The sequence below is a fragment of the Homo sapiens genome, chromosome 10 (assembly GCF_000001405.40).
Source record: "Homo sapiens chromosome 10, GRCh38.p14 Primary Assembly".
Taxonomy (NCBI): Eukaryota; Metazoa; Chordata; class Mammalia; order Primates; family Hominidae; genus Homo; species Homo sapiens.
In genome coordinates this window covers 21,409,440-21,424,170 of record NC_000010.11, presented here as the reverse complement: position 1 = coordinate 21,424,170, position 14,731 = coordinate 21,409,440, and the positions used below count along the sequence as shown (strand labels likewise).

Genomic DNA, 14,731 nt, shown 5'->3' with positions numbered 1-14,731 from the left:
TCTGTCTGTAACATAATGTGCACATGTCTTAAGTAAAATGAACTGCTGTGATAGCGAAAGTTTCAACTGGGCTGGGCGTGATGGTTCACATTGGCGAATCCCAGCACTTTGGAGGCCAAGGTGGGAGGATCCCTTGAGCCTAGGAGTTCAAGACCATCCCGGGCAACATAGCAAGACCCCATCTCTACAGAAACAAAACAACACAAAGCAACAAAACAAAACACAAAAAAGGTTTAAATGGCAGGAACAGGTTGGATTGGTGGGCATCTGAAGCCCCTGAGTTTCATCCGTTGGGTTCAGAGTACTTTTTGTATGCTGATTAACAAAGGAAAGGCTGGGCTTCAGCTATATTTCCTCTTTAATTTCACATTTCATACATAGATGGGACCAGAACAGGCTTAGTAAAACCCTGCTGACGAATGGCAGGTGATCACAATGATCAGAAGCACAAGTCCTGGAGTCTGACTGCCAAGCTCAATCCCTGGCTTCTCACTCTATTATCTGCATATCCTCGGACAAGTTATTTCGTTTCTCTGGGCCTAGTTTCTTTCCTTCCTTCCTTCTTTACTTCCTTCCTTCCTTCCTTCCTTCCTTCCTTCCTTCCTTCCTTCCTTCCCTCCTTTCCTTTCTCTCCTTTCTTTCTCCCTTTCTCTCTCCTTCCTTCCTTCCTTCCTTCCTTCCCTCCCTCCTTCCTTCCTTCTTTCTTTCATTCTTTCTTTTGTTCTTTCTTTCCTGAGACAGAGTCTCATTCTGTTGCCCAGGCCAGAGTGCAGTGGTGAGATGATGGCTCACTGCAGCCTCAACCTCCTGGGCTCAAGTGGTCCTCCCACCTCAGGCCTCCAGTAGCTGAGACTGCAGGTACACACCACCATGCCTGGCTAATTTTTTATGTTTTGTAGAGATAGGGTCTTGCAATGTTGTTCAGGCACTTTGGCTTCCCAAAGTGCTGGGATTACAGGCACGAGCCACTGTACCCAGCCTCTCTGGGTCTAGGTTTTCTTATCAGTAAAGTTGAAGCTAGGAGTATTGACTGTCTAGAGTAGCTGTGAGAATTAAATAAGATTATCCACATAGCATGATCAGTGAGCCACCTTATGCATAATAAGTGCTCAACGGTAGCAGTGATGACTGCATTCTTCTTCTTCTTTTTTTTTTTTTTTTTTTTTTGAGACCAAGTCTCATTCTGTCGCCCAGGGTGGAGTGCAGTGGCGCAATCTCAGCTCACTGTAACTTCCGCCCCCTGGGTTCAAGCAATTCTCCGGCCTCAACCTCTTGAGTAGCTGGGATTACAGGCACCTGCCACCATGCCTGGCTAATTTTTTTTTTTTTTTTTTTGGTAGAGACTGGGTTTCACCACGTTGGCCAGGCTGGTCTTGAACTCCTGACCTCAAATGATCCACCCGCTTCGGCCTCCCAGTGCTGAGATTACAGGCGTGAGCCACCACGCCCAGCCAGATGACGGCATTATTCGTAATAATAAAAACAAGGACTAGGCCGGGCGCGGTGGCTCACGCCTGTAATCCCAGCACTTTGGTAGGCCAAGGTGGGTGGATCCCCTGAGGTCAGGAGTTCGAGACCAGCCTGACCAACATGGAGAAACCCCGTCTCTACTAAAAAATACAAAATTAGCTGGGCATGGTGGCCCATGCCTGTCATCCCAGCTACTCGGGAGGCTGAGGCAGGAGAATCGCTTGAAGCTGGGAGGTGGAGGTTGCAGTGAGCCGAGATCGCACCACTGCACTCCAACCTGGGCAACAAGAGCTAAACTCCGTCTCAAAAGAAACAAAAAACAAAAAACAAGGACCATCCAGGGCCTTTTCTTCTTTACATGTAATCACAGGTGATATTCAAATATTTATCATGGCCCAGGCACCAACTGATCAGAATGAACACGCACAACCTGGGTGGCCGCGTGGTACCCTCTGACAAGAAATGCCCCTTGAGTAATCTCACTACAATACAATATGATGGGAGGCTCTATAGCTCCACAGTTCTTGGACGGGGATGTGCGGATAACCTTTGTCTTATTCTAGGGAGGCATTAGTGACTACTGGAAGGAGAATAGAAATTACTTGTTGTGGGGCTGTCACTGGCTGTGACATCTTGAATAAACTACACAACATCTCTGTGGCTCACTCTCCTTATGCTTAATACTCATGCATCGGGCAAAGCTGTTAATGGGGATCAACAAGGATCAGGAATGTAAAAGCCCTTTGAAAAAGAGTAAACCATTATACAAGCTCAGGAGATTTGCAAAAGTACCTAAACCTTCAAGAAAACACATTCCAGGGGGAAATCAGCTACGATCTACATGCCTCTTCCATTTTCTTGTAACATTTCATGCTAAACCTGTCTATGAGATTTAAAATATCACATTACATTTCTCCATTTTTACATGGGCAAAGTCGATCAAAATGAAAGGTTTTCAGAAAGTAGAATTAACTTCTTCCTATTAATGAGAAATGATAAATTGGGGATCATTTCCCTGATATTTTGCTTCTCTCTGAAATGTAGGCACTATTTTATAAAAATTTAGGTTAATTAAAATATTATAAATTATGCCTATAAACTAAAAACCCTTTATATTCTTCAGTAAGTTTTTTCTTCAGCCTGACCTAAACTTCTTTCACATGTGAATGGCGAATGTCTAAACCCACTCAGGTTATTAAACACAGTATTGAATTGTGTTATAGAGCTGGTAATTTTTAAACGTTGCAGCAGCATGGCAAACAGTTACAACTGGTGGTGCACATCTATTTTCAATTTGTGGCATTTGTGCCTTTTCAATAATGTTGGCCCTTTTCCTCTTCTGACTCAATTTCCTTTCTGTTTCTTATTCATTTTATAGATTGTGTCAATCTGTCTCACTTCTGAGCCAACGTTTTTGAGATTAGGATCCCATTTGGGATCCTTTACTCACCCATATCTTGCACACACATGCTTTTCCAAACACTTACATGCGCACACATGCACACAGAGCTAATTACACAAAGACTCAGAGCAAACCTTTAATCACATGTAACCCACAAGTAGCAAAAGTGCTATTAGGAGATAATGAGAGAGTTTTCATAAACTAATCACAAAATCTGCTTCTTTGCAGTGACATCTCATGTGCTCCTCTATTTAGCTTTCCAGGGGTGCAAAAACTGTTTCTGCCAAAACATGTAACTGTAGAATGAAATGAGTCCTTTACAGGCCCTAACTCTGCCCAGAGGGTGACTTCCCACATGTATAAAAACAACATAAAGCAATTGATGGAATGGCAGGGCACGATGGCTCAAATCTGTAATGCTAACACTTTGGGAGGCCAAGGCAGGAGGATCAGTTGAGCCCAGGAGTTCGAGACCAGCCTGGGCAACAAGGTGAGACCCTCTCTCTACAACAAAATTTAAAAAATTAGCCAGATGTGGTGGCTTGCACTTGTGGTCCCATCTACTCAGGAGGCCGAGGTGGGAGGATCACTTGAGCCAGGGAGGTCAAGGCTACAGTGAGCTGTGATTGCACCACTGCGCTCCAGCCTGGGCAACAGAGCAAGACTCTTTCAAATAAATAAATAAATAAAAATAAGGCAATTGATAGGGTTTAGGATACATTACCCTAAAATATGGCACTTTGGCATACTGAATATTTTAAGCTGAAGGAACTTGAGAAAACATCAGAAGCAGGAAGCTCTCCCCGACCTTTCCCTGCTGTTCTCAGCTGAAGCAGGGTGTAAGACTTTCACGTGAGAGATGCCCTGCCTATACCAGGAGGAAAGGGACATCCTTATCTCTGAAGACACAGGGTCACAGGGAAGAATTGGAACAAACAGGCCTGGCTTAGTTTCCCCCAGTTTATTACTATTAGATCATTCTCTTTTTGCCTGCTCATATTTCTCCACAACTGTCCACTCTTCTTCAAACCTACTATAACAAACACTCAGGTTGACTGTTTCTTTGTGTCTTCATTTGTTTGTTTGTTTATTTGTTTGTTTGTTTTGAGACAGAGTCTCCCTCTGTTGCCCAAGCTGGAGTGCAGTGGCTTCATCTGGGCTCACTGCAATCTCTGCCTTCTGGGTTGAAGTGATTCTCCTGTCTCAGCCTCCTGAGTAGCTGGGGTTACAGGTGCGCTCCACCACACCCGGCCGGGTCTTCATTTCTAAAGGCTCCTTTGCCATGTAAAACTTACATTAAATCTGCCCAGCGTGGTGGCTCATGCCTGTCATCCCAGCACTTTGGGAGGCTGAGGCAGGTGGATCATAAGGTCAGGAGATTGAGACCATCCTGGCTAACACAGTGAAACCCTGTCTCTACTAAAAAACACAAAAAATTAGCCAGGCGTGGTGGCATGCGCCTGTAGTTGCAGCTACTTGGGAGCTTGAGGCAGGAGAATTGCTTGAACCTGGGAGGCAGAGGTTGCAGTGAGCTGAGATCGCACCACTGCACTCTAGGCTAGAAAACAGAGCGAGACTCCGTCTCCAAAACAAACAAACAAACAAACAAAACTTACATTAAATCAATCTGTATGTATGCTTTTCTCTTGTTAATCTGTCTTTTGTTATGGGTGTCTTAGCCATGTGTGAGGAAAAGACAGTTTTCCTCCCCTAAAAAATAAAATAAGAATACCTTAATTTTCACAATGAACCCCAATTTTGAGATTCCCTTTTTTTCTCCCTCTCTTTTGAGACAGAGTCTCTCTCTGTTGCCCAGGCTAGAGTGCTGTGGCATGATCATGGCTCACTGCAGCCTCCAACTGCTGGATTTAGGCAATCCTTCTGCCTTAGCCTCCTGGGTAGCTAGGACTATAGGCATGCACCACCACACCTGGCTAATTTTTACATTTTTTGTAGAGGTAGGGTCTTGCTATGTTGTCCAGGCTGGTCTTGAACTCCTGGACTCAAGCAATCCTCCTGCCTTGGCCTCCCAAATTGCTGGGATTACAGGAGTAAGCCACCATGCCCTGCCTCTTTTTCTCTTTAGCCCCACTGCCTTTTTTTTTTTTTTTAAGATAGAGTCTTGCTCTGTCACCAGACTGGAATGCAGTGGTGTGATCTCAGCTCACTGCATTCTCTGCCTCCTGGATTCAAGCGATTCTCCTGCCTCAGCCTCCTGAGTAGCTGGGATTACAGGCACCTGCCACCACGCCCGGCTAATTTTTTGTATTTTGAGTAGAGATGGGTTTTCACCGTGTTAGACAGGACGGTCTTGATCTCCTGACCTCGTGATCCACCTGCCTGGGCCTCCCAAAGTGCTGGGATTACAGTCGTGAGCCACGGTGCCCGGCCAATTTTTATTTTTTATATTTTGAGACAGGGTGTTGGTCTGATGGAGTGCAGTAGTATGATCATAGCTCACTGCAGCCTTGTCCTCCTGGATTCAAGTGATCCCCCTCACCTCAGCCTCCCGAGTAGCTGGAACTACAGGTGTGTGCCACCATGTCTGGCTAATTTTTCTGTTTTTTGTAGAGATGGGATTTCGTCATGTTGCCCAGGCTGGTCTCGAACTCCTGAGCTCGAGCAATCTGCCCACCTCGGCCTCCTGAAGTGCTGGGATTGTAGGCATGAGCCACCGCGCATGGCCTGAAGTTCTTATTCTGACAGAGGACGGACAGAAGGAGCAAGGGGAGCCCCTAGGAAACAAACAATGCCAGTGTTCGCTGGGTTGCTTTGAAGTGAGTCTAAGTTCAGATCTTTCTGGCCAGCTGAATTTCCAACTGTTTCAAGTTTTTGAAACAGGAGGGTTTTCAGATGTGCAAAAACGATTTGCTTACTCTTACCTTCTCCTCCTTAATGGGCATTTTTCCTTTAAATGCTATACAGATGACAGAAGTATTCCCACTCCGAGGGTAAATTGGAAAGTACACGTCATAGTTCGAGACATGTTTGATGTTGAGTTTTGCTTTTGGATGCTCGGCTTCATGAGCTTATGTCTAGGCCCTTCTAAATCAGAAACGGATCCTTAACACGGGGTAGCGGCATCGCTGCTTGGATTCAGGGAGCGAGGCGCAGAGGTTTCATTTGGCTTCCTTTATTGTTCTATGGATGGCATGAAAATATTTCCTATAAAAGAGAAATCAGAAACCAGAATAAGGTATCCTGTTTGTTATCTCTGGTCAGGCAAATAGCATTAAAAAAAAATCTTTTTCAACATTAGATTTGCATCGCATGTGTTGGAGTGTCTTATGAAGACCAAATAAATGGTTCGTGAGGAACTAGATGGAAATAGTCTCTCATGAGATTTGCTTTGTTTATACCTCTAGGGTGGAGTGTTAGAAAACTGGAGCCAGAAAAAGAAAATAAAGGCAGATTTTAGGGCTTACAGAAGTTCAGTTGGGTATTTTTGTTTTCTGTTTGTTTGTTTGTTTGTTTTTAGAGGTAAGTTCTGGTTCTACAATCCAGGCTGGAGTGCACTGATGTGATCTTGGCTCACTGCATCCTCGACCTCCCTGGGTCAAGCGATCCTCCCACCTCAGCCTCTCAATAGCTGGAATACAGGCACATACCACCACACTCAGCTAATTTTTGTATTTTTATGTAGAGATGGGGTTTCACTATGTTGCCCATGCTGGTCTCAAGCGATTCGCCTACCTCAGCCTCCTAAAGTGCTGGGGTTGTAGACGTGAGCCCCTGCACCTGACCAAAAGGATGTTGTTTTCATACTACAGACCCCTCTCTGGGAGGCAATGTGCTTAATTTTGTGTTAAGTGGTGAAGAACTCTTCTTTCTGATTATAATTAACCATTTGGCAGAGTATTTGGAAATGCTAATGGTCTTCGATTTACACCCTCAAGATAGATCTTTTTGCCCAGTTGGGATTAGGCCTTTCCCACTAGGGCCCAGGGGCCCAGGGACAGGCTCTGCCAGCTCAGGGAGTCCTTACTGGGGGAGAGTCTCTTCTCTCTTTCTCTTTCCTCTCTCTCATGACAGATTCAATAATACATGATGGTGTTTTTATAGTGAAGATATAGTCTCAATTGGGAAAAAAGTTTGTAAAAGAATACTCTAAACGACTGGGCACGGTGGCTCACGCCTGTAATCCCAGCATTTTGGGAGGCCGAGGCGAGTGGATCACCTGAGGTCAGGAGTTCCAGACCAGCCTGACTAACATGGTGAAACCTCGTCTCTACTAAAAATACAAAAATTAGCCGGGTGTGGTGGCGGGTGCCTGTAATCCCATCTACTCGGGAGGCTGAGACAGGAGAATCGCTTGAACCTGGGAGGTGGAGGTTGCAGTGAGCCGAGATGGTGCCACTGCACTCCAGCCTGGGTGACAGAGCAAGACTCTGTCTAAAAAAAAAAAAAAAAAAAAAAAAAAAGAATACTCTAAAAGCGATGCCCAATTGGTGGAAGAATATTGAAGAAGATACATGTAAATCACATTGTCTTTTTTTTTTTTTGTGGAGACAGAGTTTTGCACTGTCATCCAGGCTGAAATGCAAGTGGCACAATCAGAGCTCACTGCAGCCTTGGCCTCCTTCCACCTCAGCCTCCTGAGTAGCTAGCACTATAGGTGCAGGCCACCATGCCTGGCTAATTTTTTTTTTTTTTTTGAGGTGGAGTTTCACTCTTGTTGCCCAGGCTGGAATGCAGTGGCACGATCTCGGCTCACCGCAGCCTCCACCTCCCAGGTTCAAGTGATTCTCCTGCTTCAGCCTTCCCAGTACCTGGGATTACAGGCATGCACCACCACGCCTGGCTAATTTTTGCATTTTTAGTAGTGACGGGGTTTCTTCATGTTGGTCAGGCTGGTCTCAAACTCCCGACCTCAGGTGAATTGCCCACCTCAGCCTCCCAAAGTGCTGGGATTATAGGCGTGTGCCACCGTGCCCGGCCATGCCTGGCTAATTTTTTAATTTTTTTGTAGAGAAAGGCTCTTGCTACCTTGTCCAGGCTGGTCTTGAATTCCTGGGCTCAAGTAATCCTCCTGTCTTAAGCTTCCCAAAGTGCTGAGATTACAGGCTTGGGCCACCATGCCTGGCCTACATCATCTTTATACTAAGAGGAAGAGCAGTCAATATAATTCAGTTTTTTTCCTCATTATGCCATTGATAAACTAACCCTGAGAAGGCATGCCTCTTTTTTTTTTTTTGAGACAGGGTCTTGCTCTGTCGCCCAGACTGGAGTGCAGTGGCACAATCTCGGCTCACTGCCACCTCTGCCTTTTGGGTTCAAGTGATTCTCCTACCTCAGCCTCTGGAGTAGCTGAGACCACAGGCGTGCACCGCCACGCCCAGCTAATTTTTGTATTTTTAGTAGAGACAGGGTTTCGCCATGTTGGCCAGGCTGGTCTCGAACTCCTGGCCTCAAGTGATCTGCCTGCCTCAGCCTCTCAAAGTGCTGGGATTACAGGCATAAGCCACCGTGCCTGGCTTGGCATGTCTCTTTTTGTATTGACCAAACTTCTAAATGAGAAAACTAACTCCCAAAACAGACTCAAGTAACTCCTATTAGTTGTTTTGATTTTATTGGGTTAAAATTTGAGGAAAATGCTGGGCGCTATGGTGCACACCTGAGTGGTAGTCCCAACTACTCAGGAGGCTGAGGCAGGAGAATTGCTTGAGCCCGGAAGTTTGAGGCTTCGGTGCATGATGATTGCATCTGTGAATAACCACTGCACCCCAGCCTGGGCACCATAGCAAAACCCTGTCTCTAAACATATTTAGAACACACACACACACACACACACACACACACACACACACACACAAAAGGCCGTGTGCAGTGGCTCAGCCTGTAATCCCAGCAATTTGGAAGGCTGAGGCAGGCGGATCACAAGGTCAGGAGTTCGAGACCAGCCTGACCTTCGTAGTGAAACCCCGTCTTTACTAAAACTACAAAAATTAGCTGGACATGGTGGTGCGTGCCTGTAGCCCCAGCTACTCGGGAGGCTGAGGCAGGAGAATCGCTTGAACCCAGGAGGCGGAGGTTGCAGTGAGCTGAGATTGTACCACTGCACTCCAGCCTGGGCAACACAATGAAGACATCTCAAAACAAAACAAAACAACCCCCCCTCCCACAAAAAACACAAAAAAACCAAAATCAAAACAAAAAAACTTGAGGAAAATATAGTAGTCCCTCCTCTGCAGTTTCGCTTTCCAAGGTTTCAGTTACCCAAGGTCAACTGTGGTCTGAAAATACTAAACGGCAAATTCCAGAAATAAACCATTCATAACTTTTAAACTGCTTGCCGCTCTGAGTAGCATGATGAAATAATGGCGGTGGGGCGGGGGGGGGTCTCTTCTCTGCCCCACCCTGTACAAATCATCCCTTTGTCCAGCGTATTCACATTGTGGATGCTACCTGTCTGCTAGTCATTGACATATTCTGCTCCTGACATCCAACCATCAAGATGGTCATGGCTCTGTGATCCAGGATCACCTGAAGCAGATCATCCTTTCTCTGACATATTATCAGAAGGTCAGTAGTTGCCTAACATGACATCACAATGCCCGTCATTCACCTCACTGCATCTCACCAGGTAGGCATCGTATCATCTCACGTCATCACGAGAAGAACGGTGAGTATAGAACAGTAAGATATTTTGAGAGAGAGAACACATTTGTGTAACTTTTATTGCAGTATATTGTTAGAATTATTCTATTTTATTATTAGCTATTATTGTAGCTTTTTTTTTTTTTTTTTTTAAGATGGAGTCTTGCTCTGTGGCTCAGGCTGGAGATGCAGATGGAGTGCAGTGGTGCAATCTCTGCTCACTGCAACCTCCTCCTTCTGGGTTCAAGCAATTCTCCTGCCTCAGCCTCCCCAGGTAGCTAGGATTACAGGTGCCTGCCACTACGCCCGGCTATTTTTTTTTTTTTTTTGTATTTTTAGTAGAGATGGGGTTTCACTATGTTGGCCAGGCTGGTCTTGAGCTCCTGACCTCAAGTGATCCGTCTGCCTTGGCCTCCCAAAGTGCTAGGACTACAGGTGTGAGCCACCAGGTCTTGACCTATTACCTATTATTAATCTCTTACTGTGCCTAATTTATAAATTAAACATCATAGATTTGTATGTATAGGAAAAAAACATATATACGTAGGATTCAGTACAATCCATGGTTTCAGACTTCCACTGGGGGGTCTTGGAATGCATCCCACAAAGATAAGCAGGGGGCTGTTGTACCATAAGTAGAGCTAAGTGAACCATACATTCTTTCCCTGAAGGAGATAAAGTCCCCCAAAATCAAAGACAGTTTAGAAAGGATAACCTAGGACATCAAATACCTTTCAGGTTTACCATTTTTTTCTTTTCTTAACTAATTTTTTTTTTGGTGAGTGGGGGAGGTTTGGTTTAGGGCGGAATAACTGATCTTTATCTATCTAGACATCAAGTGCTTCTTTTCTTGGTTGCAATTTCATCACCTAAACTGACTCTGTGTATATAAACATTGCTCTTCTTTAATAGAAACCTGATGAACTTCGAAATTTATTTGAAATATGTATTCAATATAAACCACTCTTCATTTCTTGCAAAAGTAGAGTAACACAGCAGCCTCCATATATTTTTTTCAAAATTATTTTCTATTCTCTCATCTCATTTTTCATAGCACCCCTGCTCAGACTGAATGGGAATACTGATAAACACGAAAACATGCTCAACTTCTCTAATAATCAAAGAAATACATATTAAAATGAGATGCCACTGTTTCTTCTATCACTGGGACTGAAATGGAAAGTATTCATCATATCCTTTGCTGGTGAGAAAGCCGGACGAAGAAAGATCAGAGAGAGCGCCACCCCCATTCCCCACAGCGTTCCAGCTCTGGCCCTGCTCTGTGGCTGCCCCTCAAGCCTGAAAATCACCTCATATTCTTACAATAAATCCCTTCTCCTCTCTTGCTTCCATTTTTCTTTACTTATTTGCAAGTAAAGAGCGTTAACTAATCTAATGATTTTTTTTGGCTTTCATTTCAACCTGTTTTCTCTCTTTTCTTTCTTTCTTTCTTTCTTTTCTTTTTTTTTTTTTTTTTTGAGACAGAGTCTAGCTCTGTTGCCCAGGCTGGAGTGCAATAACGTGATCTCAGCTCACTGCAACCTCCGCCTCACAGGTTCAAATGACTCTCCTGTCTCAGCTTCCTGAGTAGCTGGGATTACAGGTGCCTGCCACGATGCCCGGTTAATTTTTGTATTTTTTTGTAGAGACAGGGTTTCATTATGTTGGCCAGGCTGGTCTCAAACTCCTGATCTCAAGCGATCTGCTCTGCTCAGCCTCCCAAAATGCTGGGATTATAGGCATGGCATGAGACACCGTGCCCAGCCATGTTTTCTCTTTATAGTATTTGTTACTTCTACAAATTGATCACTTGGAGTTTTTTGCCTTGACCGTATTAAGGATATCTAATGGCTTCCTAATTTTTCTCCCCTGGATCCTGCATTGGATCATTTTCAGTTGTAGGCCTTTTCTGTGAACTTCTGTGTATTTTTCCCTTTTCCTTTGTCTAAGTGTGATTTTGCAGTGCTCACATTTTTTCCTCCTCCCTTTTCTGAGCTTCAAACAAAAGGTAAATCTGTTCACGCTTGATGATTGCTGACAGACTAAAGTATTCACTGCCCTTGGCTCTATTCATTATATACTTCTTACAGCCATAGCTGGGGGCAGATTGATGTGCTCAGCCCCCTACTCATGTCCTAAAACAGATTCATCTGAGGGCTCTTGCAGTATTCAGGTAGGACTTCTTAACCAGCCCCCTGACACACCCTTTGATTCTTTGAACCATCAGCTGTAACCCTCAGGGTGAACTGTAATCCCCAGGGAGGACCACAATCTCCAGGGTAGATTGCAATCTCCATGACAGACTGCAGCAGGATCCTTCTGTTCTCTAACTCGGGGTCTCCAACCCCTTGGCTATGGATGGGTACTGGTCCATGGTCTCTTGGGTACCAGGGTGGATAGCAGAAGGTGGGCTGTGGGTGAGCGACCATTACCACCTGATATGGCTTGGCTGTGTCCCCACCCAAATCTCATCTTGAATTCTAGCTCCCATAATCCCCACATGTTGTGGGAGGGACCTGATGGTGGTAATTGAATCATGGGAGTGGTTTCCCCTATACTGTTCTCATGGTAGTGAATAAGTCTCATGAGATCTGATGGTTTTATAAGAGGAAACCTCTTTCGCTTGGCTCTCTTTGCTTATCTCTTTTTTTTTGCTCTTGTCTGCCACCACGTAAGACGTGCCTTTCGCCCTCTGCCATGATTGTGAGGCCTCCCCAGCCACATGGAACTGTGAGTCCATTAAACCTCTTTTTCTTTAAAAATGACCCAGTCTAGGCTATGTCTGTATCAGCAGTGTGAAAACAGACTAGTACACCATCTGAGCTCTGCCTATCAGATCAGAGGCTGCATTAGATTCTCATAGAAGCATGAACTCTACTGTGAATTGTGCATGTGAGGGATCTAGGTTGCATGCTCCTTATGAGAATTTAATTCCTGATGATCTGAGGTGGAACAGTTTGATCCTGAAGCCATCCCCACCCCGCATCTGTGGAAAAATTGTCTTCCATGAAACTGGTCCCTGGTGCCAAAAACGTTGGGGGCTGCTGCTCTAATTCAATCTTACAGAGGAGGAAAAATAATTTTCTCCAAATCCTTTGCAGGGAAGAAAAAGTAACGTCTTTCCCTCACCCATCACAAGGTTCATGGCTGAAACTCCTATAACAAAAGGCATTAACAAGAGAAAAGCATATAAACTTAATATAATTTTTTTTTTTGAGATGGAGTTTCGCTCTTGTTGCCCCGGCTGGAATGCAACCTCTGCTTCCCAGGTTCAAGCAATTCTCCTGCCTCAGCCTCCCAACTAGCTGGGATTACAGGTGTCTACCACCATGCCTGGCTAATTTTTTGTATTTTTAGTAGAGGTGGGGTTTCACCATGTTAGCCAGGCTGGTCTCCAACTCTTGACCTCAGGTGATCCACTTGCCTCACCCTCCCAAAGGGCTGGGATTACAGGTGTAAGCCATCACACCCAGCTAAACTTAATATAAGTTTTATGTGACACAGGAGTCTTGAAATGAAGACCCAAAAAAATGGGAAAACTGGTTTTTTTTTTGTTTTTAGAGGTGAGGTTTTGCTATGTTGCCCAGACTGGAATGCAGTAGCTATTCACAGGCACGATCATGGCACACTACAGCCTTGAACTCCTGGGCTCAAGTGATTCTCCCGCCTCAGCCTCTCAGTAGGTGGGACCACAGACACACACCACCGCACCTGGCAAAACTGTATTTTTATGCTTAGGTTTGATGAAGAGTGGATATGATACGGACAGAGGACAGGGAAATACTGGGTAGAAGAGGGCAGTTCCTGGCAAAGGCCCCACCTTTAAGCCTGGAGGCCCACAGCCCTAAATGGGGACCGGCATTCCTGTTTTTGCACCCAAAACATTGCCTTTTGGTCCACCATGCCCTTTATCCTGTATCCACATAAACCCTAAACCCCAGGCTCCAGAAGGAGACGAGCAGATGAAGGGATGGGACAAGCAGATGAATGGCAAAATGATGCGGCAGAGGAAGAGGGAAGAAGAGGAATATGTGAATGCCGAGAGGAGTTTTGCTGGGGGTGGCCAGAGAGGAATTGGGCCGCTGGACAGCCAAGCTCCAGGGGAAGATCATCTTCCCACTCCATCCCCCACTTCTGGCTCCCCATCCATCCTGCTGAGAGCCACCTCCACCACTCAACAAAAACCTGCATTACCCTTCAAGCCCATGTGTGCCCCGATTCTTCCAGGATGCTGGGCAAGAGTTTGAGATACAAAAAGCTGTCACATTGACCTTCTGCCCCTGTGAGAAGGCAGAGGGTCCATTAAACTGGTTAACATTTAAGTCATCTGTGGATGGCAGGGCAAAAAGGGCACACTATAACACACGCCCACTTGGGCTCCTGCATCTGTCCGTCTGTGTACTCCCCCTCACCTGAGAGGTTTGACCAGGAGCAGCGGCTGAACAGGTGAGCCACGCCCCTGTCGCACATCCTACGATGGGGATCAGGAAACTCTCCCATTTCAGATAGCTGTGTAGAAATATAACTGAATCCAAGCTCGTACCACTTGCTGCACAGCAGCCAGTAAGTCAAGAGACAAAGTATCGGGGCAAGGAAAACAACTTCATTCTGAGAGCCAGCAAACTGAGAAGATGGCAGACTAGTGTTCAAAAGAACCATCTTGGCAGGGTGTGGTGGCTCACATCTGTAATCCCAGCACTTTGGGAGGCTGAGGCAGGTGGATCACTTGAGGCCAGGAGTTCGAGCCAGCCTGGCCAACATGGTGAAATGCCGTCTCTACTAAAAATACAAAAATTAGCTGGGTATTGTAGCAGATGCCTGTAATCCCAGCTACTTGGCAGGCTGAGGCAGGATAATTGTTTAAGCCCAGGAGGCGGAGGTTGCAGTGAGCTGAGATTGCACCACTGCACTCCAGCCTGGGTGACAGACAGAGACTCTGTCTCAGAAAAAAAAAAAGAACCATCTTAAGTCAGTTACAAATTTCAGACACTTTTTATGTTAAGGGCAGGGAGAAGAAAAGAGGGATTGTGGTCAAGAGAGGTAACTGATGATCACAGACATCTGGGCATCAGCAAGGGTCCGAGGAGGTTGGGAAAATTCTTTGTCCTGAGTCAGGTCACAATGTTTCTATAATTTTTTTTTTTTTTGAGATGGCGTTTCACTCTTGTTGCCTAGGCTGGAGTGCAGTGGCGTGATCTCGCCTCACCGCAACCTCTGCATCCCAGGTTCAAGCGATTCTCCTACCTCAGCCTCCTGAGTAGC

General features: G+C 45.5%; 2 long non-coding RNA genes across 2 annotated transcripts, besides 1 other annotated feature; one reads left to right on the top strand and one right to left on the bottom strand.

The window, feature by feature from the left end:
* Positions 1–5,516: 5,516 nt before the first annotated feature.
* Positions 5,517–9,384, bottom strand: LOC105376445 (uncharacterized). Its single transcript, XR_930742.1, has 3 exons — positions 9,278–9,384; positions 5,755–6,037; positions 5,517–5,607 (listed from the first exon to the last, which is right to left on the bottom strand). It is a non-coding gene; the product is annotated as an uncharacterized LOC105376445 (long non-coding RNA).
* Positions 6,390–6,903: an enhancer, noted in NCBI's record as "OCT4-NANOG-H3K27ac hESC enhancer chr10:21706197-21706710 (GRCh37/hg19 assembly coordinates)". NCBI's record gives its function as "activates a minimal SCP1, AML or CMV promoter by ChIP-STARR-seq in naive and primed H9 embryonic stem cells {active_cell/tissue: H9 hESC(naive and primed)}" and the evidence as "EXISTENCE:reporter gene assay evidence [ECO:0000049][PMID:30033119]".
* Positions 9,385–9,412: 28 nt separating the features above from the next.
* Positions 9,413–10,815, top strand: LOC124902390 (uncharacterized). Its single transcript, XR_007062085.1, has 2 exons — positions 9,413–9,494; positions 10,524–10,815. It is a non-coding gene; the product is annotated as an uncharacterized LOC124902390 (long non-coding RNA).
* Positions 10,816–14,731: the final 3,916 nt, after the last annotated feature.